Here is a 27,094-nt window from a genome sequence, read left to right as displayed (position 1 = left end):
TTCAAAAAGCTCATAAGCTCATAGAGAAAGCAGGTTAGCATTCTGTACAACCAACAATTTTAATTGCCTTACATTGTATCTCAGTGGGTCAAATGCAAAACAAGAAAAAAAAAGAAAAAATGGAAAAAAAAAAAACAGCCACCCAATCCTTTGTTCTGCGTATTATCACTCAATACCTTAGCATGTTCAGAAGGGTACTCTTTGTGGAAGGGGACAGGCAAAGTCAAAGTTCATTACTCTTTGAGGAACAAGTCCCATGCTTTAATTAAAAGCAATTAAATAAAAAGCAAAAGAGAATTGTCTTACATTAGAGGAATATCACTGAGTTGACAATAAATCCCCACAATGCTAAAATATTTTTCCCAACTAGAAATATTATTTTGGAGTGTGGGCACTTTCTCACTCTGGATTTTAGTATACATACACACACCTGCATGCGTGCTCTTAAATACCCACACGTAATATAAGCAAATAAGCACAGTCCCAGGTATCCCCCTTCTTTCTATACATGCCATACAGAATAAGTAATTAAATTTTCTAGTTAATTAATTACATATATTACACATACACACATATACTTTTAATGCACAAATGGTAGTTTTATAAAATAATCAACTTTTTTTAAGAGGGGGTGAGGTTTACATAACAAATAATGGCATTTTGCTTTATCAGATTCAGAACTTCTTTCCATAGGACATATTGGAAAATCTTTGAACCTCAGAAAGAGTAAGCAATATGCTTTCAGGTGTACTGTTTTTACATGTGCAGCCAAGATGCAAACCCAGATTTGTCTGATGCCAAAGTCAACACTCTTTTTGCCACAAGAGATATAAAATAATCCAGTCTAGTCCGCAGGACTACTAATGAGAGTGATCTTTACCCAGAGGACTCATTTTAATATAAGGGTAAAAAATAATTTGAATTAGCAAATTAATTAGTTGTACTTAATGAATGGCAACTATCACAGATACTTTTTTCCCTAAGTATACCTATAACCATAATACCTATAACTCATACTAGCACTGTTATCTTTAACTTTTTGTTGAAATGGTTTTTCAAAGTAAATTTTAGCTTTAGTCTCATATCCTAGTGAATTTTGTGGTATTTTACTTATGGCTAAAATGAATTGCATTGTGTGAAATGTCCAAAGAGGCCATGGTCTTCTCGGCAGTGTTAAAAGTCTCAGAGTCACAATGCAAACAAAAGTGTATTTTTTTCTGGCAAAAATTTTACTCTCCAGGAATTTTGTATTGTCGGTATATCATGGGGTCTCTATTTATTTAACTTAACTAGGAAATAATGTCTATGAAAAATTAAAAATTAATATATTCATCATTAGAACCATCCAGAACTTCTTAAGCAGTGTAAAATCTAGTTGGGTATTTAAGAATACAAATAATTCATAGACTTTAAAGAAAATAATAGAAAATAGAGATGCTTGAGTCTATAATTTGATAAAAATTAGTTTATGGGTACTATCTTCCATGATATCTCTCTGGAGAATTCATCATCTCCTATAAATACTACACTAAGATCTTACACAGCTTGGTAAGTGCACATGAAAGTTACTGAATAATGCTTTCATGGGACTCCACTATCTTATGTTACTTTGTCCTAGACCTCTAGTTGCTTATATTTTAATATTGTAGTATCTATAATTAATCTCACTAGGTATACTTGCATTTTTAATAAATTAATAAATAAATCCATTCAATAATTCTCACACCAGGGTCCACATTGACAACTGCTACAAGGCAAAGGCCTGAGGAGATGGAAGTTACGCTAATATAAGTGAGACATAATCCAAGTAGGGGAAATAATCTTTTAACAAAATCATTAAAATATGGTAAGAGAGGGATAAAATAGATACGTGGAAAAGAGTGATTAGTGAGGCAATGTTAGGCAGGCTTCACGGAGAAAGTGATGTTTAAACTTGGACTTTGGGATGGTAAATGAGTTCATTGAGTAGAGGAAGTGAAAGTGGGCAATCCAGGTAAAGGGAAGAAAGTGTGAAAAGGCACAGATACTCTCCTGGAGCATGGAGTTTTATATAGCACATTAGAGATAAGTTTTTGGGTTTACACTACAATTGAGAGGGTGCATAAATATATTAAAGGATTTTAGAATAATCATACTTTTAGATATATAACTGAAAGCACTATAATGAATGAATGAGAGTAGAACATAAAGACAAGAAAATTATAGAAATAGTGTAGAAACAAGATCTTGAATACTACCTCAATTAAAGCAGTAACTAAATAGATGTCAAAGGGAGATTTACTGACAGAAAATAAAGGCAGCAAACTTTAGTTACTAATTAGATGTTTGCATTTTGGATGGTAAAGAAATGGTAGTCATGCTCTTTTGTGACTGGCTATCTTAATTCTTACATTCATTCATTCAATAAATATCTTTTGAGTATAATTGTACATCAGGTTCTGAAAAAATAGCTGAATAAGACCTGTTTTTATCATGCCTTGCAGGGAAAGGCAGACACAAACCGTCTAACGAAGAGGGATGTTTAAGGTGATCATAAACATTCAGGCATGACTATCCATTCTATTTAAATTTAGAGACTACTTCAGTCTCTTGAAATAATTTCTTATGTTACTTCATCATAGTGGTGTTTTTTTCTGGGGAGGATGCTTTCATTAATCGAACTTTGTGTTTCTTCTTGGAACTCAGTGACAATACATCACCATCACTATCCCAGAAATGTCTTCAGTTGCACATCACTGTTTACTGTCCTCATTTACTAGGCCTGCTGCAACAAATTACCTCCAACTGGGGGGCTTAAAACAACAGAATCCTATTTTCTCAAAATTTGGAGGCTAGAAGTCTGAGATCAAGGTATTGGCTAGAAGCAGGGTTGTTTCTTTCTGGAAGCTGACCAAGAAACCCTTCACACTCCCTTAACTTGGCTAACTTTAGTCAAGTTTCTTCCTGCCCTAAGGCCCAAGACTTTTCTTTTCTCAGAACATTTATTTTAAGAAAATACGTAATTGTAAATTCTTTCTCTACCACTTTGAGATGCAAATCTTTTTAAAACCTTTTCATTAATTTTATAACCTGGGAATGTTCTTCTCAAGAAACTGGGAGTCATTCCTTTGAAATATAATTAAGGAACATAGTGCTCCTATCTCCAGGCATCTGTGAGGTCTGTGAGCAGGTAGGAGCCTAATGTCTTATAAAGACATCAGTCATTGGATTCAAGCCCATCCTAATTCAGTATGATAACATCTTAATTACAGCTGCAAATGCCCTATTTCCAAAAAACATCACATTCACAGGTACCAGGGGTTAGGACTTCAACATATCTTTTTTGAGGGACACAAATCAACTCACGCATTTACAAAGAGTTTAAATGTGTTTATGGCAAAACAATTCATCCTTGAGTCTTCTCCTTAGGACTAGGCTTAAAAGAGTTTCATATATTTCCTTTAAATCCTTGGTGTGAAGGTCTACTAGCAGCACATGTTCAAGACTATTTATGTGCAAATATAACAGCGTCTCTTTTATTCTAGGTTTCTATGGTTAAATTTTCCTTCTTGCCATGCATTTGCTCTTTAGTAAATCATTCTTATATCCTCTTCCTCCTCTGACTCATTAACAGGGCAAGATTCTGGTAGTTGTTGGGTCATCCAGCTAGGGCTCATTCTTTCTTTTCACAGGAAGGTATCAAGGTTCCCATACTGGCCAATATCTCAATTGATGTAGGAAGCGTTAGAAAACAGTGGCTCATGCTCGCATAGGTCCCTAGTTTGGCACTGAATTTGCCCAACTCAGGAGATTATAGGGCCAGGCATGATGACTCACACCTGTAAGCCCAGCTCCTCAAGAGGCTGAGGTGGAAGGATCACTTGAGACCAGGAATTCAAGACCAACCTGGGCACATAGTGAGAACTTGTCTGGACGAAGAGAAAAATTAGCTGGATATCGTGGTGCATGTCTGTAGTCCCAGCTACTCAGGAGGCTAAAGCAGAAGGATTGCTTGAACCCAGGAGTTTGAGGCTGCATTGAGCTATTATTGTGCCACTGCACTCCAGTGTGGGCAATGGAGAGAGACCCTGCCTCAAAAACAATAACAACAAAACAAAACCTTTAAAATTAAGACACTGTCATAAAACATAAAAGTCTTTGGGCCAGGTGTGGTGACTCATGTCTATAATCTTAGCACTTTAGGAGGCCAAGGCAGCAGGATCACTTGAGGCCAGGAGTTTGAGACCAGCCTGGGTAACATAGCAAGACCCTGTTTCTAAAACAAAAACAAAAACAAAACAAAGTAGCCTGGCATGGTAGCACATACCTGTAGTCCTAGCTACTTGGAGGCGGGGGCAGGAGAATTGCTTGAGGCTAGGAGTTTGAGGCTACAGTGAGCTACGATCATGCCATTTCTTTGTATTCCATCTTGGGTGACAGAGCAAGACCTTGTCTCTAAAAAAAAGAAAAAAAAAAGAAAATTATAGGCTGTAGTTTTGCTAAGCCAATTCAGCATCTCTTTTCTCTCCTAAAATTTCTTCTCCACTCCTGACAATTTTTTTTTTAAGATTCACAAGTACTGGTACTATTATTGTCAGAGGTGTTCGAACCAAAGAGACTCCATTTTGAGTGAGGGCTAGGAAAATGAGGCTGAGACTCATTCTCAGCATTTCTGAGAATGATGGACTGCATTCTCAGAAAATTAGGTGTTCCTAACCTTTAGATGTTTACAGTTAAGGGAACAAATTAACAATGTTTACTAAACAGACCCAGATTTGGGAGTGTCCAGATATCCCAATATCTGGAGAACAAAGGCATTCCTAATTTTGCTTTAAAGATAATAGTATTGATTCTTGCAAAATATAGTAATTAAGAAAATTAATCCTTTATCACAAACCCTTGTAGCAGAGCACATCTCCCCATATATGAGTATTGTACCTAGGGTGGACGCATTCCACTTCTTACTTTCAGGAATGTCCTACTCTGTAGAGTAGCTGTTCTTTCACCATTTTACTTCTTAATAAACTTGCTTTTACTTTGCACTGCGGACTTGCCCTGAATTCTTTCTTGTGTGAGATCCAAGAACCCTCTCTTGGGATCTAGATTGGGATCCCTTTCCTGTAACATATTTTTGGCGACCATGAAGGGACTATAGTGAGGAAACCACCAACTTTGGGTAAGTGATGGGGCCCTGTAATGTATTTCCGGTGACCACAGAAGGGACTATAGTGCAGAAACCCTGACCAATGGCTACCTTTGGGTGAGTGGTGGGGTCCTGTAACATCTTTCTGGTGACCAAAGAAGCAATTACAGTGCAGAAACCCTGACCCAAAAGCTACCTTTGGGTAAGTGGTGGGGTCTTGTAATGCTACTGAGCTATTGGTAGTTAGAGTGGTGTTGGGGCTCAGAAAATGATACTGCAGATTGGAGGTCTCAGAAGCAAAGTTTCTTTCTGACCTTCTCTTGCCCTCCTGTCTCTTGCCCCTCATTCCTTCCTGGGTCAAGCCATAGAAACTAGAATTCCTCTTCACCAAGATGGATCATAGAAACCAGACCCCCTTTTCCCCAAAGCCAGCTGTAAAACCTAAAAATATTATTCTAAACTTCCCTAGATTTTCTATGTAACAGCTGCCCTTAAATTAATCAAGGCCTTTATTCCAGAGGAGTCCTGTCCCCTACCTAGGCGAAAGAAATGCTATAAAAAGTGACAACCAAATAGAGTGACTAGGGCATATGTTTCAATCATCAAGGTTTTTATTAAGCCATCTTTAGGGTATGTCCCAGAAAACACATGCCACAGACACATGTGTGACTGTTTTTCTAAAGATATTTTTCAGGAGGTTTAGTGTTTGCTCATTTTCTTAAAGTGGGGGAAGGCATACAGGTAGAGGAGCAGGTAGGTGGTAAAACAAATAGTTACATTCCTGGGAGACTTTATTTAGTCCCCAGTAAATACACATTTTACATGAGATAAAGTAAGTGTCTTAAGAGAAAAAGGTAGTAAAGGAAGAGTCGATTACGTAAACATCTCTGGGGAGGTGAAGGAATGAGTCTTGACTTTGTTCTGCATCTGGGAAGGTAAGCTTGTAATGGACATTTTCAGTGTGGAATTGAACAGGTTTTAGTTTTAGGAGCTAGACTTAGATTCTAGACCTAAAATTACCATTGAAATGTCCTCGTTTATGGGAGACCAACAAGGAATTTGCCTATAATTGATCTCTTGGGACAGTCCTTTGCAGATGGCCAAGATCGTTTTACCTTTCTGTGGAAATCTGGCTGATGCATAACGTTAGCAACAGCTCTTCACTTGGAAGAGGGTGTTGCAATGGCTCAGTGTCCAGGAGTAATCTTCTCTTTTGCAAAATAAGTGTGGGGGAATTCTGGTTTTTTTTTTCCTTTATGGGAGAATCAAAGAGGAATATTACTGAGCACACAGATCTTGTTGAGTTTTCCCACTCAATCTGCTTAGCTCAGACTCTTTTGTTCAATCACATATCTGCACAGTTGCCCCTGCTTCATAAAACCCAAAGTGTAAAAACTGAACAGTTTTCCCTGTATCTTTTGGGTCACTATTCTGAAGACTTTCATATCTTAGAAAGCTATTATCAAATAAATCTGCTATTCTTTTCTCTTGTTAACTGATCTTTTGTTAGAGAAGTGTTGACTGTCACCCTTTATGATAAAAGACATACCCCCTTTCCATTCCTACAAGGTCAAGATTTCTACATTTTATAGTACTCTTACCCTGTGGAAAAGAAAAGCATTTTATGTTTTCCTTTATCCTAGTTTAGGGATTATTTTTCAATATGTTGAAGAGCTACCTTGCAAACCTTCTCTGAATAGGGTCCCTTCTTTTACAGCAATGTCTACATTTTTCCTCCCAACCACCCTCTCTGTCCATTTCACAGTACACAGTGGCCTGAACACATGGGGGTGGGTAGGACAACCATTCCTAACATTTCTTGAGTTTTCCTGTGGCAAACTTCCTAAGGCAGCACCAAGGCCTTCTAGATCAAGGAATTTTTATATTATGTATTTAAATTTCTTAGAACACAAAAGCTATGTATAGTCCTTAATATTCTTTCATATCAAATATTCTTTCCTGAGTTTCCTCTGTTATATTAATGATGCTGCTAAGGTATAAAAGTAAGATAAGCTATGAACTGTAGAAGAAAAAGTACTTCTGATATTCTCTGACTAATATAAGGGGATATCATTGATTGATATGGGAAATAGGTTTGGAGGTGTAATTAGTTGTTTTAGGATGCAAATATCTGATTAGAGAGAAATATTCCACAGAGCATTCACCTTCCAATCTTCATAATGCCTATCAGCATATCCAGTTTGTCACCAAAATGTTACAGCCCAAGGAGTTTTTATTGCTCCCTGCACAAATAAAGCCAATTCATTGAGACAGTGTTTCATATAAGAGAAGGAGTTTAATTATTTCAAGGGGAGTGGAAGGATGGGAGATTTTTTTCAATTCTGCCTCTCTGAGAGCTTGGAGGCTAGGGTTTTTAAGGATAATTTGGAGGGCAGGGGGCTAGATGACAGGTGCTGCTGATTGGTTGGAGATGAAATTATAGGAATATCCAAACTGTCTTCATGTGCTGAGTCAGTTTCTGGGTGAGGTCACAGGACCAGTTGAGTGAGTTCCTTGGTATGAGTCACAAGTCTGGCTGGAGTCAGTTCATTTACCCAAATGAAAAAGCCTGAAAAATATCTCAAAGATCAGTCTTAGGTTTTGAAAATAGTGATGTTATCTATAGAAGCAATTAAGGAAACGATTAATCTTGTACCCACGGCTACATGAGTCTTGGGCAATAATAGAAAAGCAAGCTAGGGAACAATAGCTGGTTATTGTTTAACTATGCCTACATCTTAGTAGAATTGAGGCTTCTCCCATAATCTTAACCTTTGGCCTTTTGTCAGAGGCATTCCAACTAGAGATACTCCATCTTGAATGAGGGCTAGAAAATATAAGGCTGGGATTTGCTGGGCTGGGTTCCCAGGAGACTAGGCATTCCCAGCCTCTAGATGTTTATGGTTAAGGGAACTGAGCAATAATGTTTACTAAACAGACCCAGTCCCAGGAAAGTCCTGATACCCCAATATCTTGAGAACAAAAACATTCCTAATTTTGCTTTAAAGATAATATCAATTTTTGCAAAACATAGTAATTATAAAGTTAATCCTTTATCACAAACCCTTGTAGTAGAGCACATCTCCCTATGATATTTTTTTGTTATCCTATATATAAACAAGCATTGTACCTAGGGTGGGCACGTTCCTCCTCTTTTGAGAAAGCCCTGCTCTATCTATGGAGTAGCTAATCTTTCACCCTTCTACTTTCTTAATAAACTTGCTTTTGCTTTGCACTGTGGATCCACCCAGAATTCCTTCTTGAATGAGATTCAAGAATGCTCTCTTGGGGTCTGGATCAGGACCCCTTTCCAATAACACTTTCATTAGTCTTACAGAGGTGGTTTTAGTCCACAAGCAAAAAGGAAGTTAGTTTCAGGAAGGTATTACTATCATTAGTCTTTTAAAGTTAACAAAAGCAGTTAACTGGTGAGGTTAGAAGCAAGATGGAGTTAGCGATGTTAAATCTCTATCACAGTCATGATTTTTGTAAAAGTGATTTCAAAAGTGCACCTCAAACTCTAAAATTAAAACGATGCTTCTATGCTCTAGAAGAGGGATCAGTAGTCTATAGTCTGAGGACCAAACCCATGCTACCAACTGTTCTTATACGTGAAATTTTATTGAAATGCAGCCATATCTATTTACTTATGTTTTTTCTATGGCTGCTTTTTGCCTACATTGGCAGAGTTGGGTAGTTGCACCAAAGACCATTTTACTTGCAAAGCCTAAAATACTTTCTGGCTTTTCACAGAAAAGTTTGCTGACTCTTGCTCTAAACAAGGGTGTTCAATCTTCTGGCTTCCCTGAAGAAAAAATTGTCTTGGGCCACACATAAAATACACTAACACTAACAATAGCTGATGAGCTGAAAAAAATAAAAAATAAAAATAAAGGCAGTGGTGCATAATGTTTTAAGAAAGTTTACAAATTTGTGTTGGGCTATATTCAAAGCCATCCTGGGCTACATGCAGCCCACAGGCCATGGGTTGGACAAGCTTTCTCTAAACAAACTAGAGCCAGGTTATAGAGGTTATATATGTCTATTATTATTTATTCACATTGAACACTTTGCTTGAAATTTTTCTGCATTTTTCTTTGAATAAATCATTTAAGTTTAGTTGCTGAAATTCTACTTATCTTTTAAGATGTTACTCATGCTTTATTTCTTTTAGAAAGTTGTTCTTAGTACGTTTTTCTTAGGTATAACTGACCAACAACTGAGTTTGCTAAATATATCCCTCTATAGTTTTCTCAAGAACCAACATGTTTCTTATTTATCTTTATGCCATTAGTGCATATCCCAGTATCTGCCACATAGTAGAGCTTAAATATCTATTGATTACATGCAGGAATGAATGCAGTAAAGGAAATATAGACGACTAGTTTTCAATTTTTAGTGTTAAAAAGCTTTAAGTTACAAAATGTAAATGTAAATATAAATAATTACATGGAGTATACTCCATTCAAGTCTTCTCCTGTTTCCCTTTATTAAAATCAGAGGCTAAACAATAGGAAAGGCTATTAGCTATTGTTTTTTCTCTCTTCTGGCTTCATTTTCTTCCCCAATCTGAATCTTATCTGTACTCCAAGTTTGAGGAGAGGGAAATGTATTAGATATTTTTATGTTGTTATGCTGATTTTAACTACTTTTTGGCTGACTCTTGTTGGCCCTTATGCTCTCCATTGCATTGTGACAAGCATCCAAATTATTTCATACAGCATATTAGTGAGTTTTGCAGAGACACTCTCCCATGCTAAACTCAATAAAACACCAATACTTTGGCTATCTTTAATGACTGCACCCCATCTCCCATCTACCATCGCTCATAGGATTTACCCATTCCCCTTTTTCAGAAGTGCAGCTTTTTTAGATTTAATTCTCCCATATCTCTTAGCTACATACTTTTCTGCTTTCTACCTCTTAAGTAGCTCACATATTATTATAATGTCAAATGGAAGTGCAGCTTGTACAATGTTTTCCATCCTGACTCCACACCATATAACCACTGATAGCTTCAGGCAGCTTCTTAGGTTTATTTTATTTTTTTTTCTGAGGAGAAGAAAACATCAGACAGTTGATGACTGATAAATTACCAAACTCCAGGGAACTTATTTCAATTTCCTTTTAAAATTATCTCTCAATCATTTGAGATGCTTTCAACTTCAACTTTAGAGTGAAAGGAGAAGAAATAAAAGAGGAATGATTATCAGTCTTACTAACTTGCTTATATATATATGACCTGTCTGTTTTTCTCCTTAGCTTTTCCTTTACATTGTCAGTACTCTGAATCCTAATGATTCTATATATATATACACACATATATGTATATATATATATGTGTATATATATATGGATTATGGACTATACATTATCTTCTCTCTTTTATCAACAATCTTTTTCTTTTGACTTGCTCCTTCTCAAAATAATGTAACATACTTTAATTGCCTACATTTAAAAAATAAAGCAAAACAAAACAATCTCCCTTGAGAAACTCCATTACTTCTTCATATACTGGTTTACCTATCCCCTTCTAGCAACAGTAAGCACTCTTGACAAAGTAGGCTACTCTTGCTTTCTCCATTTTTTACCTCATACTCATTGCAATCTGTCACTTAACTGAAAGTGCTAAAATTACTCCATGCAATTGTAACTGATGTTAAATTTGAAGTACCTTGAAACATCAAGATAAATGCATATGGATAACCTGAAGTGAGGTACTAACCTAAAGTTAACATTGAAAAATTAAGTATGAGAGAAGGGCTTAGATGACTCTTAAAGTCCTCAAACACATGGGTATTATGAAAGGGTCTAAAGTTGAAGATTACAGAGGATCTGAAGTAAATGATTTATTTAGAGATAATTGTCACATTGATGTGATTAATGATGTCTGCCCCCATTCAAAAGAAAGGAGTAAGTTTCCTACTTCTTTATCTCAAACTAAGAAAAGCAAACTTGAAAATAGCTATTAGAGAATTTATGTGCCCACAGTGATTGGAAATGGGTTTGACTCCTACATAGTAAATCTAAAGAGGCAGAGAATAGCCTTAAGCTGAGAAACCTATCAATTTTGTTTTCTTAGATATTGTTAGAGAAAAGGGTATGAGAGAGAGAGAGAGAGAGAGAGATAGAGAAGAAAGACAAAGATAGATATACTGAGAAACTTAGACTCTATTCAATATGACTACCAAAGGAGAAAATAGGCATCAGTAAAGACAAGCTAAATATATCATCAAATTTTTAGGTAAACTAGAATATAAGAGTGGATAAACAAGAATAAATCAACTTAGAGGAACATATCTGGGACATAGGCTTTAACACCTTGGCAGATATTCCATGGGATACAGAGAATTTATGACTAGAATAGATGTTAGAAGAATGGAGTAAGTGGAGGCTAATGCTGAGCAAAAGTAAAAGATGTTTGGGTTGAAATGTCAGATAGTAGAAGAAATCATAATATGGTTTAGAAATATGGGCTAGCTGAAATAATTATATTATATGAGTCACCACAGCATTATGCTCCAGAAGAAGACCCAGAGGACACAACTTTCACCAAGATCACCAAAAACATGCTGGTGAAAAAGGTACTGGCAATTATATCATGAAGTTCACTGTTGCTTCATAGGTAAGTCAAGGCTGCCAGTAGGACAGGCAGCCTTAGAACCCAAAATTGGCTTATTAAATGGCACAATGGGGATGATGGGTCCCAAAAGAAATTGCTGTTATTGGTAGTGGTAGTATTTAACTATCCAAAGGCAGAGGGGTGATAATTTTTATAATGACTGTCAATGTCAAGGGATACTCAAGAAGTCTTGACCCACAGGTGGTTGTGTAGATAGTTAATGGAACGTGGCATCCCTAGGGACAAATAGCAGGGCAATTACCCAGTTTTCTATTTAATATCTACAATCAGAAGTCAAAAGTGAAGGAGCAATAGGTTGAGGACAATAACCCAGATATGAAGTCTCAATCTCTTGCTCAGTTTTCATGCCTGAGTCAATTTTAAAGTCTGTATACCACTGAAAAAGGAGATATCTAAGTTTACAGGAGGAACGATCCTATAATACAACAGCAAGTACATACTACAAAGATTCCTCTAGTACTTCCCCAGAGGAATCTATGGTCGTTTACTTTGTTGAGTGAGTGCTGGGGAAAGAGAAGTATCACAACATTTGAAAGACAATTAGACCCAGGTTGTTAGTTGACATTAATACTTGAAGATAAAAAGCATAATCATAACCTCCTGATTGGTGACATATGACAGCCATGTTGTAAATGGATTCCTGGCTAAAATTCAGCTTAGACCATCTCTGCAGTGTCAAGAGATCCAACAATTGATTATTTTGCCAATTTCCAATTCTATAATTGGAATGACACACTTGGCTATTGGATAACCACCATGTTGGATGCTTGGCTTCTCAGGTAAGAATGACCAAACTCTAGAAGGGTATTAAAAGAAAATCCTTAGCCAAATTAAATTTAACTGAGTTTAATTGAGCAAAGAACAGTTCACGAATTGGGCAGCCTCTCCAACCCATGTAGGCTGAGAGAGACTCCAGTGCAGCCATGTGGCAGAAGATTTATGGAGAGAAGGAAAATGATTTACAGAAAATAGAAGTGAGGTATACAAACAGCAGATGGGTTACAGCTTGGCATTTGCCTTATTTGGTTACAGTGTGAACAGCTGATTGGCCAAAACTCGGTGATTAGCAGAAGAATAGATTACAGTCTGTTACAACTATACTTAGATTATAGTTCACTATATAGAAGAAACCTTAAGGCCAAACTTAAAATACGTGAGGCAGCTTTAGGTTAAACTTAACATTTCCCCAATTTTGGTCATCCTCTAAATTTTGAGATTGACCAAAACTTTAGTTATTGATGTTACTATCACCATCGTAAATGTACTTATTGTGTCTCAAAATACTCTGTACTTATTTGGTCTCAAAACGCTCTGGAAAATAGCAGAACAGTGGGTTTTTTAAGGTGGAAACAAAGACTTCAGGTTATTCTTTTTTAACAATTATTGTACAGCATCCCTCCTTGTGTTGGAATATCCTATTTACAGGAGAAAAGCAAAAACTGGTCTGTTCTAGGATCTATCTGTTTCCTTAAAGTCTTAGTTTGACTATGTCACATATACCATAAATGATCCTATTTTAGTTTGGTCTGGTCTGTTGGGGTCTAGTGCATGAGCTCAGACAGAAACAAAGGCCTTCCACAATTTTGCTTAAAATTTCCCCCCTTTTGGTCAAGTTCTCACTTTGGTGAGCATATGGTCAAAACTTAGGGCCTTAGCAGCACTCTCAGTTACCACCATTTTGGGTTTCTGGTCTTAGCATGTCATTAATAGGTTATGGTGCCCACATGGTCACACATTTCTTTCAGGTCTTTCCATTCCAGGTGAAGATATACAGTTTGACATTCTGTAGATGGCTGCATGCAAACATTGTAGACTTTTGAGAGAATGCAGTGTACCAGAGAGACTACTATTATGACTATTGAGTTTGGAGTATGCTCCTTAGCCAAGGTACCCATGAACCCAACACACTAAAATCAAATAGATCAAATAATAAGTTAGGTAAAAGTCTACTGGCTTTATCCAACCAGTCTGTTTGCTAATTCCCTGCAATTGAATATAATACTGATGTATTTCTCCATGTGCAATGAGACATGCCAACAACTGCACAAATACATCTCTGTTTAGCCAGTAAGTAATCTAGAACAAGTCTATTATTTAGTATAACTTTCACAAGGTAATTTGAAGTCTGCTGTGTAACCATAGCCTTTATATTAAAATCTCCTACACAGCCTATCATGAGGAATTAAATTTTTAATCATTGCCTCATTTACTCCAAACCATGACATAAAGACCTAATAAATCATGTCCATCTAGAAGAACGAAGACCTCTTGGCAACCTTTGCTTTAACCCATGATGCATGTCAAGATGAGTGAGCCAATATTCTGTTTCAGACTGATTATGAGGCAACAGATATATTCTTAAGAATTTTCACATGCATTGACATTTTGTCTTCCACCTATCAGGGCAAAAGGTTGTCATGTATAAGGCTGGCTACAAAATTTTTCTTAAATAAAAGTATACCTCACAAATGCACATGAAAGACTTATTTTTCATTTCTATAGTTCATATAGGCTTAATTTTTTAAAAAAATAGAAAGATAAGTATCTCACGAGAGCAAAGATATCTTGATTCATGGTCTTGGGAAAAAAGTTGTCCATGTCAAGCGTGCCGTCTGCTTCTGGGGAGACTGGGGATAAACTTCCCTGATTAGCTTTACCTTAAGGTTTCCAATGGCTATACATTCAAGAGTGTGGAGGGAACCTTCTGAGTTGTAAGATTATGAACCCAAGGTTCAACGTTCCCAAGTTTTGCTTCAGTGTGGATGGCAAGGGCAATCTTTCTATGATGTTCTCAGAAGATTGAATCTTTGGGTTCTAGATTGTGAAGAAGTTGACTGTTCTCAGTCAGGAGACCATAAAAAGCTTTCTTAATCTGGTGAAAGTACACTTTGGTATATGAGCTAGTGTTACAACATCAGCCCTTTTGCATGGGAAAGCTTTCTTACAACCAGAAAACATGCACTGAACATGACAAAGGTTCAATTCAAATCCTTCTATAAATGTTTAAGTGGCACATTGGGTAGCAGAAATGTACCTGAAGTTTGATCGTCTTTCCAAGCATATGGGTTTGACAAACCAAACATTGGTCATAAACTATTACAGCAATTTAGAACAGTCACCACATCTATGAAGGTTAGAGCCTGTCTAACTCTCTCAAAACAGCCAGGAGACAAAACAGGAAAAGCAGGAAAGAAGGGGCCATATTGGTGAGGACTAAACTCTGATTTTTTATCTTGCCCAAATGCCAACCTAAGGGGTCTGGAGAGTCATGCCCTACAAAATCATAAATTCTCATCAGATTGGTTTTAATTGACCCTGTATGTCATGACTTACTTTCCAATCTGACTCTGGCATAATAAAGGAGAAAATCAAAATGTTTTACCCCAAATTATATTTCCTAGCTATACCTTGAAATTGCCCTGCAAAGTCTCTTGTGGGAAAAACCCACGTTCTATATCCCTTTTCCCCTTTGTTTTCCTTTCTTCTTTCCTTCCAAAACCCAGGAGATAATCAGCTATGAGCCAGGCACCCTTTTAGGTCTGATAAGAAACATTTTACAACCTACTCTCTCTCTGAAGTTCACTATCTGAGAGATTCCTCTGCACAATAAAACTTGGTCTCCACAATCCTTTACCTTAACCTAAACATTCCTTTTCATTGATCCCAGGTCTTCAGATAAGCTCAACCAATTGTCAATCAGAAAATGTTTAAATTTACCTATAGCCTGGAAGCCCCTGCTTTGAGTTGTCCCGCCTTTCTGAACTGAACCAATGTCTTCCTTCCTTCCTTCCTTCCTTCCTTCCTTCTTTCTTTTTTTTTCCCCAGCATCTCACTCTGTCACCCAGGCTGGAGTACAATGGTGCGATCTCGGCTTACTGCAATCTCTGCCTCCCAGGTTCAAGCACGATTATCCTGCCTCAGCCTCCCAAGTAGCTGGGATTACAGGCACCAGCCACCACACCCAGCTATTTTTTGTATTTTTAGTACAGACAGGGTTTCACCATGTTGGCCAGATTAGTCTCGAACTCCTGACCTTGTGATCCACCGCCTCGGCCTCCCAAAGTGCTGGGATTACAGGTGTGAGCCACCATGTCCTGCCGTATTTCTGAAATGTATTTGATTGATGTCTCATGCCTTCCTAAAATATATAAAACCAAGCTGTACCCCAACTGCCATGGGCACATGTTCTCAGGACCTCTGAGGGTTGTGTCATAGGCTATGGTCACTCATATTTGGCTCAGAATAAATCTCTTAAAATATTTTACAGAGTTTAACTTTTTTCATCAACAATCACATACACATAATATATATAGACATACAAACACACATAAGCAAATCTCATAGCTTTCATAAAGAATTATCATTAGCCAGCTGTTAGTTTTTCTTTTCTGCATTCAGACTATTAATCCTCCAATTACCCATTTCATTGCTCTAAGCAATTGTTAACTAAGGGGAAAAAAAGGCATTCCTGAAGGGACAACTCTTAAGTGAAACAAGAAATTTGTATTTCATAAATACAGAGCTAAGATTTTAGGCCTAAACAGTGTCATTTGCACAAACCAAGAGAAAAAAAGTGGTGTCAAGTAAAAGTTTCATCAAGATGAGATGGCCAGAAAAGCACCTTATACAAAGGTTTGACTTATTATATAAATTTAAAACAATGGTAAGAGTTTCTAATGCACATAGGCAGACATCCTTAAAAATGGAGATTTCCTTTGTAGATGTACATTTCTTTTACAGAATGGTTTCAAGATAGCCAATTAAATTACAAAAAGTTGTATTTTAGTTTGATAGGTGTTCTTTTTAACTTAGTTACTTTTTCTTAGTCAAAATTACTAAAATTACTGAGTTCAGGGTAGAGCCCTTTAAAGAATGGGGCAAAGAAAGCATTCTTTATGCCTGGCCTCTTCATGGATAGATCTGAAAAAGAAGCAATTTTACTTGAGGGCCTATGTTTTATAAACACTTTATTTAGAAGAGGTTTTTCTTTTCACCTTTAGGTAGAATAGCACCTAAGCCAAAAGGTTAGCAGATTTAATTTTTCTTATCAATTAGTCACTTAAGTTTTTATTTGCCTTTTATAAAGAGTCTTTAAATAAAAATACTGAAATCTTTTCAGGAGCTTCTGCATATCAACAGACATCGCTAGATGAAATTAATTCAGGAGTCCTAATTTTCAAATGCACTTCCTCAAGCACAATGTGGTTCATTTGGAATGTTCTACTTTAACTTTAAATGATCTTTAGTAAGATTTTACCATTTCTGTAAGACTTTGCTATTTCTGGGGCCTAATACTTATGCAAGTACAAGCCAGAAGGTATTCAGTTTTTCAGAAATCAAGGACCCCATTTTTACCTCAAATATTGGCTTTAGCTCTCAGATCAACTTAGCCAATGATTTTTCCCCTACATTAATATGCAAGAAAAAAATGGGGATAGAACAAAATAATCCCTGCAAATTTCCAGAAGCTGAAGTTTATACCCACTGCAATATTGCCATTTACTACTGTTTTTTGTGTTTTTTTTTTTTTTTGTCTCTGACTCAGTCAGACATAAGAGGCATCTAACTGGATCCAAGCCAGTTAACTGTTGGATCCACTCCAATCCTGGACCCAGAACAGTCCCTGTTGTAACTTTCATACCCAATTTGGATCAGAAATTTTCTCAAACTCAGGGAACTCAAAACAAAAATCTGTGGAGCTTTAAAATCTGAGAGAGCACTTACCATGATCCCCAGTTGCTGCAAGAGCACAATCCACACAGTGGGCCTGGCAGATACCTTGCCTGGTCACTCAGTGCTCCTGGAAGTTTCTGGAAGCTCTACTTCAAATCCCACTTCTGACACCACCTGTTGAAAGAAAATGCTTAGCCAAATTTAACTGAGATTAATTGAGTGAAGAACTATTCACAAATTGGGCAGTCTCTCCAACCAGAGTACATTCAGAGAGACTCCAGCACAGCCATGTTGTGGAAGATTTATGGACAGAAGAAGAAAAGTGATGTACAGAAAATGGAAGTGTGGTACACAAACAGCCAAATTGGTTACAGCTTGCCATTTGCCTTATTTGAACATGGTTTGAACAGTCGGTCCCCTTTGACTGGCCAAAACTTGGTGACTGCACAAAAGTAGGTTATACAGTCTCTTTAGACCTCCATTTAGGTTATAGTTCACTATGTACAGAGAAACTGAGAGACAGGACTAGCTGGATTTCCTAGGCCAACTAAGAATTCCTAAGCCTAGCTGGGAAGGTGAACGCACCCACCTTTAATCACCGGGCTTGTAACTAAGCTCACATCCGACCAATGAGATAGTAAAGAGGGTTCACTAAAATACAAATTAGGCTAAAAGCAGGAAGCAAATAAATAGTCAAATCATGTATCACCTGAGAGCACAGGGGGAGAGACAATGATTGGGATATAAACCCCAGGCATTTGAGCCGGGAGTGGGCAACCCCATTTGGGTCCCCTTCCATTGTATGGGAGCTCTGTTTTCACTCTATTAAATCTTGCAACTGCACACTCTTCTGGTCTGTGTTTGTTATGGCTTGAGTTGAGCTTTTGCTCATTGTCCACCACTGCTGTTTGCCGCCATCGCAGACCTGCCACTGACTTCCACCCCTCTGGATCCGGCAAAGTGTCTGCTGCATTTCTGATCCAGTGAGGCGCCCATTGCCGCTCCCGATCAGGCTAAAGGCTCACCATTGTTCCTGCATGGCTAAGTGCCCAGGTTCGTCCTAATCAAGCTGAACACTGGTCACTGGGTTCCACGGTTCTCTTCCGTGACCCACAGCTTCTAATAGAGCTGTAACACTCACCGCATGGCCCACATTTCCATTCCTTGGAATCCGTGAGTCCAAGAACCCCAGGTTGAGAACAAAAGGCTTGCCACCATCTTGGAAGCTCTAACAACAAAGACCTGCCCATAACAAAACCTTTAGGCCAAACTTAAAATATAAAAGGAGACAGCTTTAGGCTAAACTTGATTTAACAAGGCCGATTTGAAACCTCTAAAACTGTACTCAAATCTCTTTTCAGGAGAGAACTTGTCAGGGGTAACATTAGCTGTCAATATGTATTTGTAGGATTTTCCTCAGGGCCCACACCAAGATGAGTCACTCTCCAAGCTGCTGCCAGCCAATGACTGAGCACAGTGGAAAAGTTCTAGAACTGGACTATTAGTAACCAATACAGGACTCCTGTAGTGGGCAGCCTGGGTAAGACTTCACTGGTGCTGTACAACACTCTTCAACTCTTCTTAAACAATCTCCCTTTCTTCCCTCAAATGTCAGCCTTGCATTATGGTATGAAGGTTTTCCCTAACTACTATAAAGTTTTGCTGGCATTTTTGGCAATAAATCTTTTACATTTCTAATTATATCTTGGCATCTGCTTTCTGGAGTTCTTGAACTGAAACAGTATCTGTAATTTGGCCTAAAAAGGAACTTAATAATTTGACTTTTTCATTAGTGCACAGGCCTTGCCAAATGCAATTTTTTCCTTTTGATCTGTAAGAATACAGTGCTATTTTCATTTTTTATGAAGTCATGTGCTACAGGAATTTCTGATTTTAGCCCATTTTCTGTTCTGCTTGGAATCCTTTTCCTCCTCATCTCCTCACTTTAGTTATTGTGACTCTAAGAATGGGATAGATAATTTTAGGGACCCAGTACAAATAAAAATATAGGCCTTATACAGAAAATATTAAGAATTTCAAGACAATATAGCAGAGCATTAAACCAAGTGTGGGTCCTGCTAAACTCAGGATTCTGTGTAACTGCACAGGTAACATAACGATGAAGCTTGCTCTGCTTAGTGCTTATTCTTCTTTTGTGACTGAACTATGATGACATTTTATCAAGAAGTCTTGGCAGATCTTCTGCATACCAGGAGTCTGCAAATTTGAAATGAGGATTCTTTTTTTTTTTATTGAATGACAATCAAAATCCCTACTTTGTCTTTGTGAACTCTTTTAAGTATATTCAATTAATCAAATCAAAGGAAAACATATTAAAAGTTTTTAAATAAACCTGTTCTTTGTAGTGCAAAGATTCCATTTTTAAAATTGATGTAAATTTGATTTTTAAATAGCCCTAATACTTTTTTTCATTCAGTCTTTCTTCATCAGGTATTGCTGAGTAGTTTGTCCATTTACTATTCATCCCTTCAATGTGTGCTAGTTCTGACTTGCCTTAAGAACACTTATAAACTGGGTGTGGCCCTTGTATTCTCAATGTGCCCTTTCATTCCAAGGAGATGAACTGCACCAATTTAAATAGTAATCTTAATTGCTTTGCAATGTACTCCTGATAAATGTCTACTGAGACTGATTGCGCCCTTCACCTGTGGTTTGGCATTCTATCAATCTCATAAGTTCCTATTGTTAATAAAAGGCAAAGTAACTAGTGATATTGTTTGAATGGTGCTACTTTCTTTATGTCTAGTGACAGGGTAGAAAATAAAATTGCCCTCAGGTTTTTATGTGTGTTCATACATATTTTAAGATTTTATTATCAGTGACTTCAGTCTCCAAAATGGGGTTAGATAATTTAATATGCTTTTTTTGGTTTGATAGGAATGTATTTTTATAATTAGGAATATTTAAAAGGCATCTTAAATTATTAAATTTATTATCTTTAATTATTAAATAATATAGTTTCATTGTGATAAATGAGATATATAGAGAAGTGAAAATATGATGGTATATATGTCAATCATAATCACGTCCTATAGAGCTAACCACAGCCAATCATTCTTATACATTTTTTTCTGTATCTAAACCATATAATCTAGTTTACAGTGGGTTCTCCTGACTTTAAGACATAGAAAAGATTAAAAAAGATTGGCTCAAATCTCTTCCTTCTTTATCCTCTGAAAATTCAGCTTCTAGGATTTTTGGAAATTTCTATTCACTTCTGGTTCTAAGCTTATCTCTCCACTGAATTGGTAATGCTTAATGATTTGCTGCAAAATCTAACCACATTATTTCACAAAGTAACATAAGATTATGATCATTTTAAATAATGTGTAACATCTTTTAATTGCTTATTTGCCATTCATATGTTCTCTTTTGTAAAGTATCCAAACAAATGTTTTTTCCCATTTTTGTTGGATAATCTTTTTCTTTTAATTTCTGAGTTCTTTATACATGGTATAAGTCCTTTATCAGATACATTTCACAAAAATTTTCTTACCCAGTCTATGATAGTCTATTATTTTACAGTGTGTTTTGTGAACAGATATTTCTAATTTTGAGGAAGCAATAATATGTGATTTTTTATTTTGTGCTGTTCTATTTAAGAAGTCTTTACCAAAACCAAGGTTATAAAGATACTCTCTTATGTTGTCTTCTAGTCATTCTATATTTCTAGGTTTCATTATGGGTATAAGTTCTATTTTGTGTTAGCCTCTTTACAACTTTCATTTTCTTTTTATTTTCTTTTTGGTATGGAGATATCCAATTATTTTATAATAATTGGTTGAAACAACTATCATTTCTCCACTGACTTTCCCCTGCACCTTTGTAAAAAATAAATTGCCCACATATAAGTGTGTCTATTTCTGGACTCTCTATTGTGTTCATTGTTCTAGGTCACTAGCTTTATGCCAATGCCACATTGTTTTAGTAATGGTAGCTTTATAATAAGTAAAAATCAGGCAGCATTAGACTTCTAACTTTATTCTTTTTGAAAGTCATGTTGTCTATTCCAGTTCCTTTGCATTTGCATGTGAATTTTAAAATCAGATTATCAATTTCTACAAAAATCCTGGTGACATTTTTATTGGGATATATTACATCTATAGGTCAGTTTGGGTAGAATTGACATTGGAAGTAAATGCTTGATGCCACAAAGTGAAAATAGCACTCAGGCAAAGTTTTCTCAGCAAGGCAATTTTCTTCTATAGGAGAGTGCATCTCACAGATGGAGCAATGGTGAGAGCACACTGGACAAGGGAGGGGATGGGGTTCTTATTCCTGATGCAGCTAGTTCCTACTGCTGTGTCTTTCCCCTGTTAGCTAGGGTTGGACTGCACAGTCTAAGCTAATTCCAGTTGGCTACTTTAAAGAGAGAAGGGGTATGAGCCAGAGCGGTGGAGTGAGTAGTTTTGGCAGGAAGGGTGGTTACAGAGCTGGTGACTAAGGATGACTAAGGACAGAGCAGGTGATAGAAGCTAGGAGGGGGTTGTTTACTAAAACTAGGGGCAAGGAGACATAAAGAACGAGGAAGTTAAACTTTAAAATGGAGAACAAAGAAGAGGGAAGCTGAACATACTGACATATTGTTCTCTGAGGAAGAGCTCAGAACTTAACAATTTTCCCCCTCTTGAATTTTAAAGGAAGTTAACAGGCTAAAACCTTGCCCTTTTTATAGTTTTTAATTTTATATTTTATAGTTTATAATTTTTATAGTTTTTCCTCTTTAAACCTTTTTAACATGTCTTGGCTTTGAAAAGCTTATCTGAATAAGGTGGAGGAGAGCTAAGGGAGGTTTTTTGTGTCTAGTGGAAAGGTGATTTCAGTCCTCGTTACTTCATCTTCATCAGAAAGAAAAATCCTCTTGATTTCTTAATATCTATTTTTAAAATTGTCATTTATAGATTTTAAATTTTCTTCTTGTATTTTTTCAAAATATACATTTATTGAATCTTGAGAACTAAATTACATATAGTTTCATAGTTGCACATTTTTGTTGTGATGGTAGTTGTTGTTATTGTTATTGCTTGGTTTGGGGTTTTTAGATTGGGAGTTTAACATAATTCCTTCACTCTGGGAATGAGGATAATTTCCCTGTGATCTCTGTTAGCAAACAAGCAAAAATGATGGTTCATTATATCTTTATATCATGGTTTTGTTCATTATACAAATTATTCTTTCAGTATGTTCTTCTCATATTTATTTATTTATTTTGTTTTTGAGACAGAGTCTCTGTTGCCAGGCTGAAGTGCAGTGGTGTGATCTCCGCTCACTGCAACCTCTGCCTCCCTGGTTCAAGCGATTCTCCTGCCTCAGCCTCCCGAATAGCTGAGATTACAGGCATGTGCCACCACGCTCAGCTAATTTTTGTATTTTTAGTAGAGATAGGGTTTCACCATGTTGGCCAGGATGGTCTCGATCTCCTGACCTCATGATCCGCCTGCCTAGGCCTCCCAAAGTGCTGTCTTCTCATATTTTAATCAAAAGAGAAGCTACTGTAAAAAATAACTACTTTTTTACCTCAGTAATTCAACTTCCTGGGAGAAAAGTGTCTAGAACTAGATTTTTGATGTTATCAAAGGCTACACCTCAGGGTAACTTAATTTCTGCATCAGGTTTTCTATAGGTTCCATGAAGCTCTTGAACAAAAAGCCAGCTTCATGAATACCATTTCCTTTCTGCCCAGCCCAACCACCAGATGCAAGCTGGCACTGACCTACATTCTAAGTTCTTTCCATACTGTGGATATTCTCTTGGCTCTAACCATGAAACCAGTTTCAAAGCATTTTTTGCTACTGCTTTCAATTTCTACTGATCCTTAGCAGAGAAAGTGGTAAATTAGTTGTTTCTCTCTACCCAACATATTTGCTTTGCTTAAAGTGTCTTTTCCTCTAAAATGGTAAGAATTACTGAATTGTACCATCATGGATGCTGTACTTTCTCCAGCTGTATGCTTGTAGATCACCCCTTGGAGGTTTCCCACCTGCAGTGGACCCAGCAGACATCTTTGGTAAGTTTTAGCACTGAGATTACAGACCTTTTGCACAAGAGATTTCTCTGAATGAAATCCAGGAACAGAATGGTAAGAAAGCCAAATGCCTTTGTTTACATTGCTATCTTCTGCCTAAACATTTGTATGGCTTTTAAAGGTAATAACATTTGCCCACTTTTTAATGTACGTTTTGTAAATATCAAAACTTTTTAGTATGTATTTTCTAATTTGGTCCACATGATACCTGTATAAAAACATGGAAAGCATTTGTAAATCACGTTTTCCCCATCAGAAAACTTTCAGGGCAAAAAATTTATAAGTGATCTAAATGGTACACTTTATATACAACAAAGCCAGGTATAAAAGTAAGTCCACTATACATTTACATTAGTCATGGGAAATGATTGACATTTGACTAGTTTTTGAAAGTAATTGCAAATTATGTATCTATATTTAGGCTATATTCAGATCTATAACTGGTTAAAGTTTGTTAAAGGTTTAGGCAAGTATCATTTTGCTTGGAATTATATATATTTATATCAGCCATATTTTGCCCTGTTCAGTTGGGAAGAGAGTTTGTTAGTTATTAAGCTATTATCTCACATATAGAGACCCTCACTTTATTCTATGCTTTGTAATACAGGGGCTATGCTTTTTGGCAATTATGTTTTCTCTTTCCCAAGGGACTCCCTGTTACAGTTTATCAATAAGGGTTCCAGCTAAAGGGAAACTGGAAAACTAGTAATGACCTTGCCTCTTGGCAGCAGCAGTTAGTTCCCTTATTGCTCTCTTACTTTCACACTTCCAGAACTAGCCTCATTGTGTGCCCTTCAAAGAGTAACAGCACAAACCAGGCATAGACCTTTTCAAGGGCCTATGTCTCACATTTGTGGATCTTCTGATCGTCTTCTAGACTCCTTGGTTCTAACAGCACCAATTCTTTCCCTTTGTTCCCCCACCCCTTCGGTGATGGTAAATGCTTTCTGAACTTAGGAGATTTTTATTACCTCAGTGTTACTTAAAAAATATTCTTTAAAATGTATTTAATTGATTTCTTATATTAAATGATTGTAAATAAAATAACAGATGTGGTTTTTATTTCATCAACTTGTCTCTGTCTGATTGTTAAGTTAGAAGAGGGCATGCAGTTGAAAAAGAAGAGAAAATAGTATTGCAGCATATTAATTAATGGATTGATAAAATGATAAAAATTTGCAGGATGACTCTCTTCTTATATGTTCAGAAATATGTAAACATATCTATAACTCTGCCATGCTCATTTGTTTTCATGTCCTGATTTGTTGATTTTATATATTAAAAGAAAAATTTTTAAATCCCTCTCCTTTGGAAAGAGTGAAAACTTTTTCTTACTTCTATTTGCTCCTGAATCCTATGAATTAGTAAAATGAAAAAATTACTATGAGGAGAGGCTGGCAAGATGGCAGAATAGGAACAGCTCCAGTCTGCAGCTCCCAGTGAGATCAACACAGAAGGCAGGTGATTTCTGCATTTCCAACTGAGGTACCTGGCTCATCTCACTGGGACTGGTAAGACAGTGGGTGCAGGCCACGGAGGGAGAGCCAAAGCAGGGTGGGGAGTCACCTCACCTGGGAAGTGGTAGACGTTGAGGACCTCCCTCTCCTAGCCAAGGGAAGCCATGAGGAATCCTGCCGTGAGGGAGAGTGCACTCCAGCCCAGATATTACACTTTTCCCATTGTCATCACAACCCACAGACTAGGAGATTCCCTCAGGTTCCTATGCCACCAGGGCCCTGGGTTTCAAGCACAAAACTGGGCGGCCATTTGGGCAGACAACGAGCTAGCTGCAGGAGATTTTTTTTTTTTTCATACCCCAGTGCCACCTGAAATGCCAGCAAGACAGAACCATTCACTCCCCTGGAAAGGGGACTGAAGCCAGGGAGCCAAGTGGTGTTGCTCAGTGGATACTACCCCCATGGAGCCCAGAAAGCTAAGGTCCACTGGCTTGAATTCTTGCTGCCAGCACAACAGTCTGAAGTTGACCTGGGGTGATCGAGCTTGGTGGGGGGCGGGGTGTCCACCATTACTGAGGCTTGAGTACGCGGTTTTCCCCTCACAGTTTAAACAAAGCCTCTGGTAAGTTCAAACTGGGTAGAGCCCACTGCAGTTCAGCAAATCCGCTGTAGCCAGACTGCCTCTCTAGATTCTTCCTCTCTGGGTGGGTATCTCTGAAAGAAAGGCAGTAACTCCAGTAAGATGCTAATAGATAAAACTCCCAACTACCTGGGACAGAGCACCTGGGGGAAGGGCGGCTGTGGGTGAGAGGTGAAGCCAGCTGGACTTCCTGAGTCAAGTGGGGACTTGGAGAACTTTTCTGTCTTACAAGTTAATTGTAAAATTCACCAATCAGCACTCTGTAGCTTGCAAGAGGTTTGTAAAATGCACCAATCACCACATCCCAAATAGACTCTTTGGCAGCAGTGACTCTCCAAAACTGCTGAGGCCTAGACCTCCTCACTGCTGAGAAAGGAGGACTTTGCACCTTCTTAGGGGAAGAATGTTGTTTTTACACTAACTGATCAGGGATAGTATGAGATTTTGCCCAGTGTTTACAGGAAAAGGCTTCTGAAATCAGACAACGCCTTTCAAACTCTGATACCAACCTCTGGAGTTGGGCGACATGGCTTCTCCCCTTTCTAGGTCCCATGACAGCCATCTTGTGATTACTCGCCTTCCAGCCCTTTATTTTTAACCTCCTTGTCAAATTTGTTTCCTCCAGGATTGAGGCCATCAAGCTACAGATGGTCTTACAAATGGAACCCCAAATGAGCTCGACTCACAACTTCTACCAAGGACCCCTGGAATGACCCACTGGCCTTTTGACTGGCCTAGAGAGTTCCCCTCTGGAGGACACTACAACTGCAGGGTCCCTTCTTTGCCCCTCTCCAGCAGGAAGTAGCTAGAGAGGTCATCACCCAATTCCCAACAGCAATTAGGGTGTCCTGTTTTGAGGGGGGATTGAGAGGTGAAGCCAGCTGAACTTCCTGGGTAGAGTGGGGACTTGGAGAACTTCTCTGTCTTACAAGGGGATTGTAAAATGCACCAATCAGTGCTCTGCAGCTAGCAAGAGGTTTGTAAAATGCACCAGTCAGCACTCTGTAAAATGGAACAATCAGCGCTCTGTAAAATGGACCAATCGACAGGATTCCAAAAGTAGCCAATCATGGGGAGGATTGAGAAAAGGGCATTCTGATAGGACAGAAACAGGACATGGGAGGGGACAAATAAGGGAATAAAAGCTGGCCACCCCAGCCAGCAGCAGCAACCTGCTCAAGTCCCCTTCCATGCTGTGGAAGCTTTGTTCTTTTGCTCTTCACAATAACTCTTGCTACCACTCACTCATTGGGTCCGTGCCATCTTTAAGAGCTGTAACACTCACCGCGAAGGTCCACAGCTTCATTCTTGAAGTGAACAAGACCACGAACCCACCGGAAGGAACCAACTCCGGACACATAGGCACAGCTTTAGCAGACTTAAACCTTCTACCTGCCAGTTCTGAAGAGAGCAGCCAATCTTCCAGCACAGTGCTCAAACTCTGCTAAGAAACAGACTGCCGGCTGGGCACGGTGTCTCATGCTTGTAATCCCAGCACTTTGGGAGGCCGAGG

The 27,094-nt window shown here is 37.8% G+C and overlaps 1 long non-coding RNA gene across 1 annotated transcript, besides 1 other annotated feature; it reads right to left on the bottom strand.

Annotated features, from left to right (window-relative positions):
- Positions 1-7,398: 7,398 nt before the first annotated feature.
- Positions 7,399-18,848, bottom strand: LOC105369880 (uncharacterized). The gene is made up of 3 exons (XR_945160.2): positions 18,580-18,848; positions 17,490-17,612; positions 7,399-7,691 (listed from the first exon to the last, which is right to left on the bottom strand). It is a non-coding gene; the product is annotated as an uncharacterized LOC105369880 (long non-coding RNA).
- Positions 25,411-26,610: an enhancer, noted in NCBI's record as "BRD4-independent group 4 enhancer chr12:87815167-87816366 (GRCh37/hg19 assembly coordinates)". NCBI's record gives its function as "activates an origin of replication core promoter dependent on BRD2, P300/CBP, MED14 and CDK7 cofactors, and independent of BRD4, by STARR-seq in HCT116 cells {active_cell/tissue: HCT116}" and the evidence as "EXISTENCE:reporter gene assay evidence [ECO:0000049][PMID:35650434]".

Source organism: Homo sapiens, chromosome 12, assembly GCF_000001405.40.
Source record: "Homo sapiens chromosome 12, GRCh38.p14 Primary Assembly".
NCBI classification, from domain to species: Eukaryota; Metazoa; Chordata; class Mammalia; order Primates; family Hominidae; genus Homo; species Homo sapiens.
The sequence above is the reverse complement of the archived record's forward strand: the minus strand, read 5'-3'. Positions and strand labels throughout refer to the sequence as shown.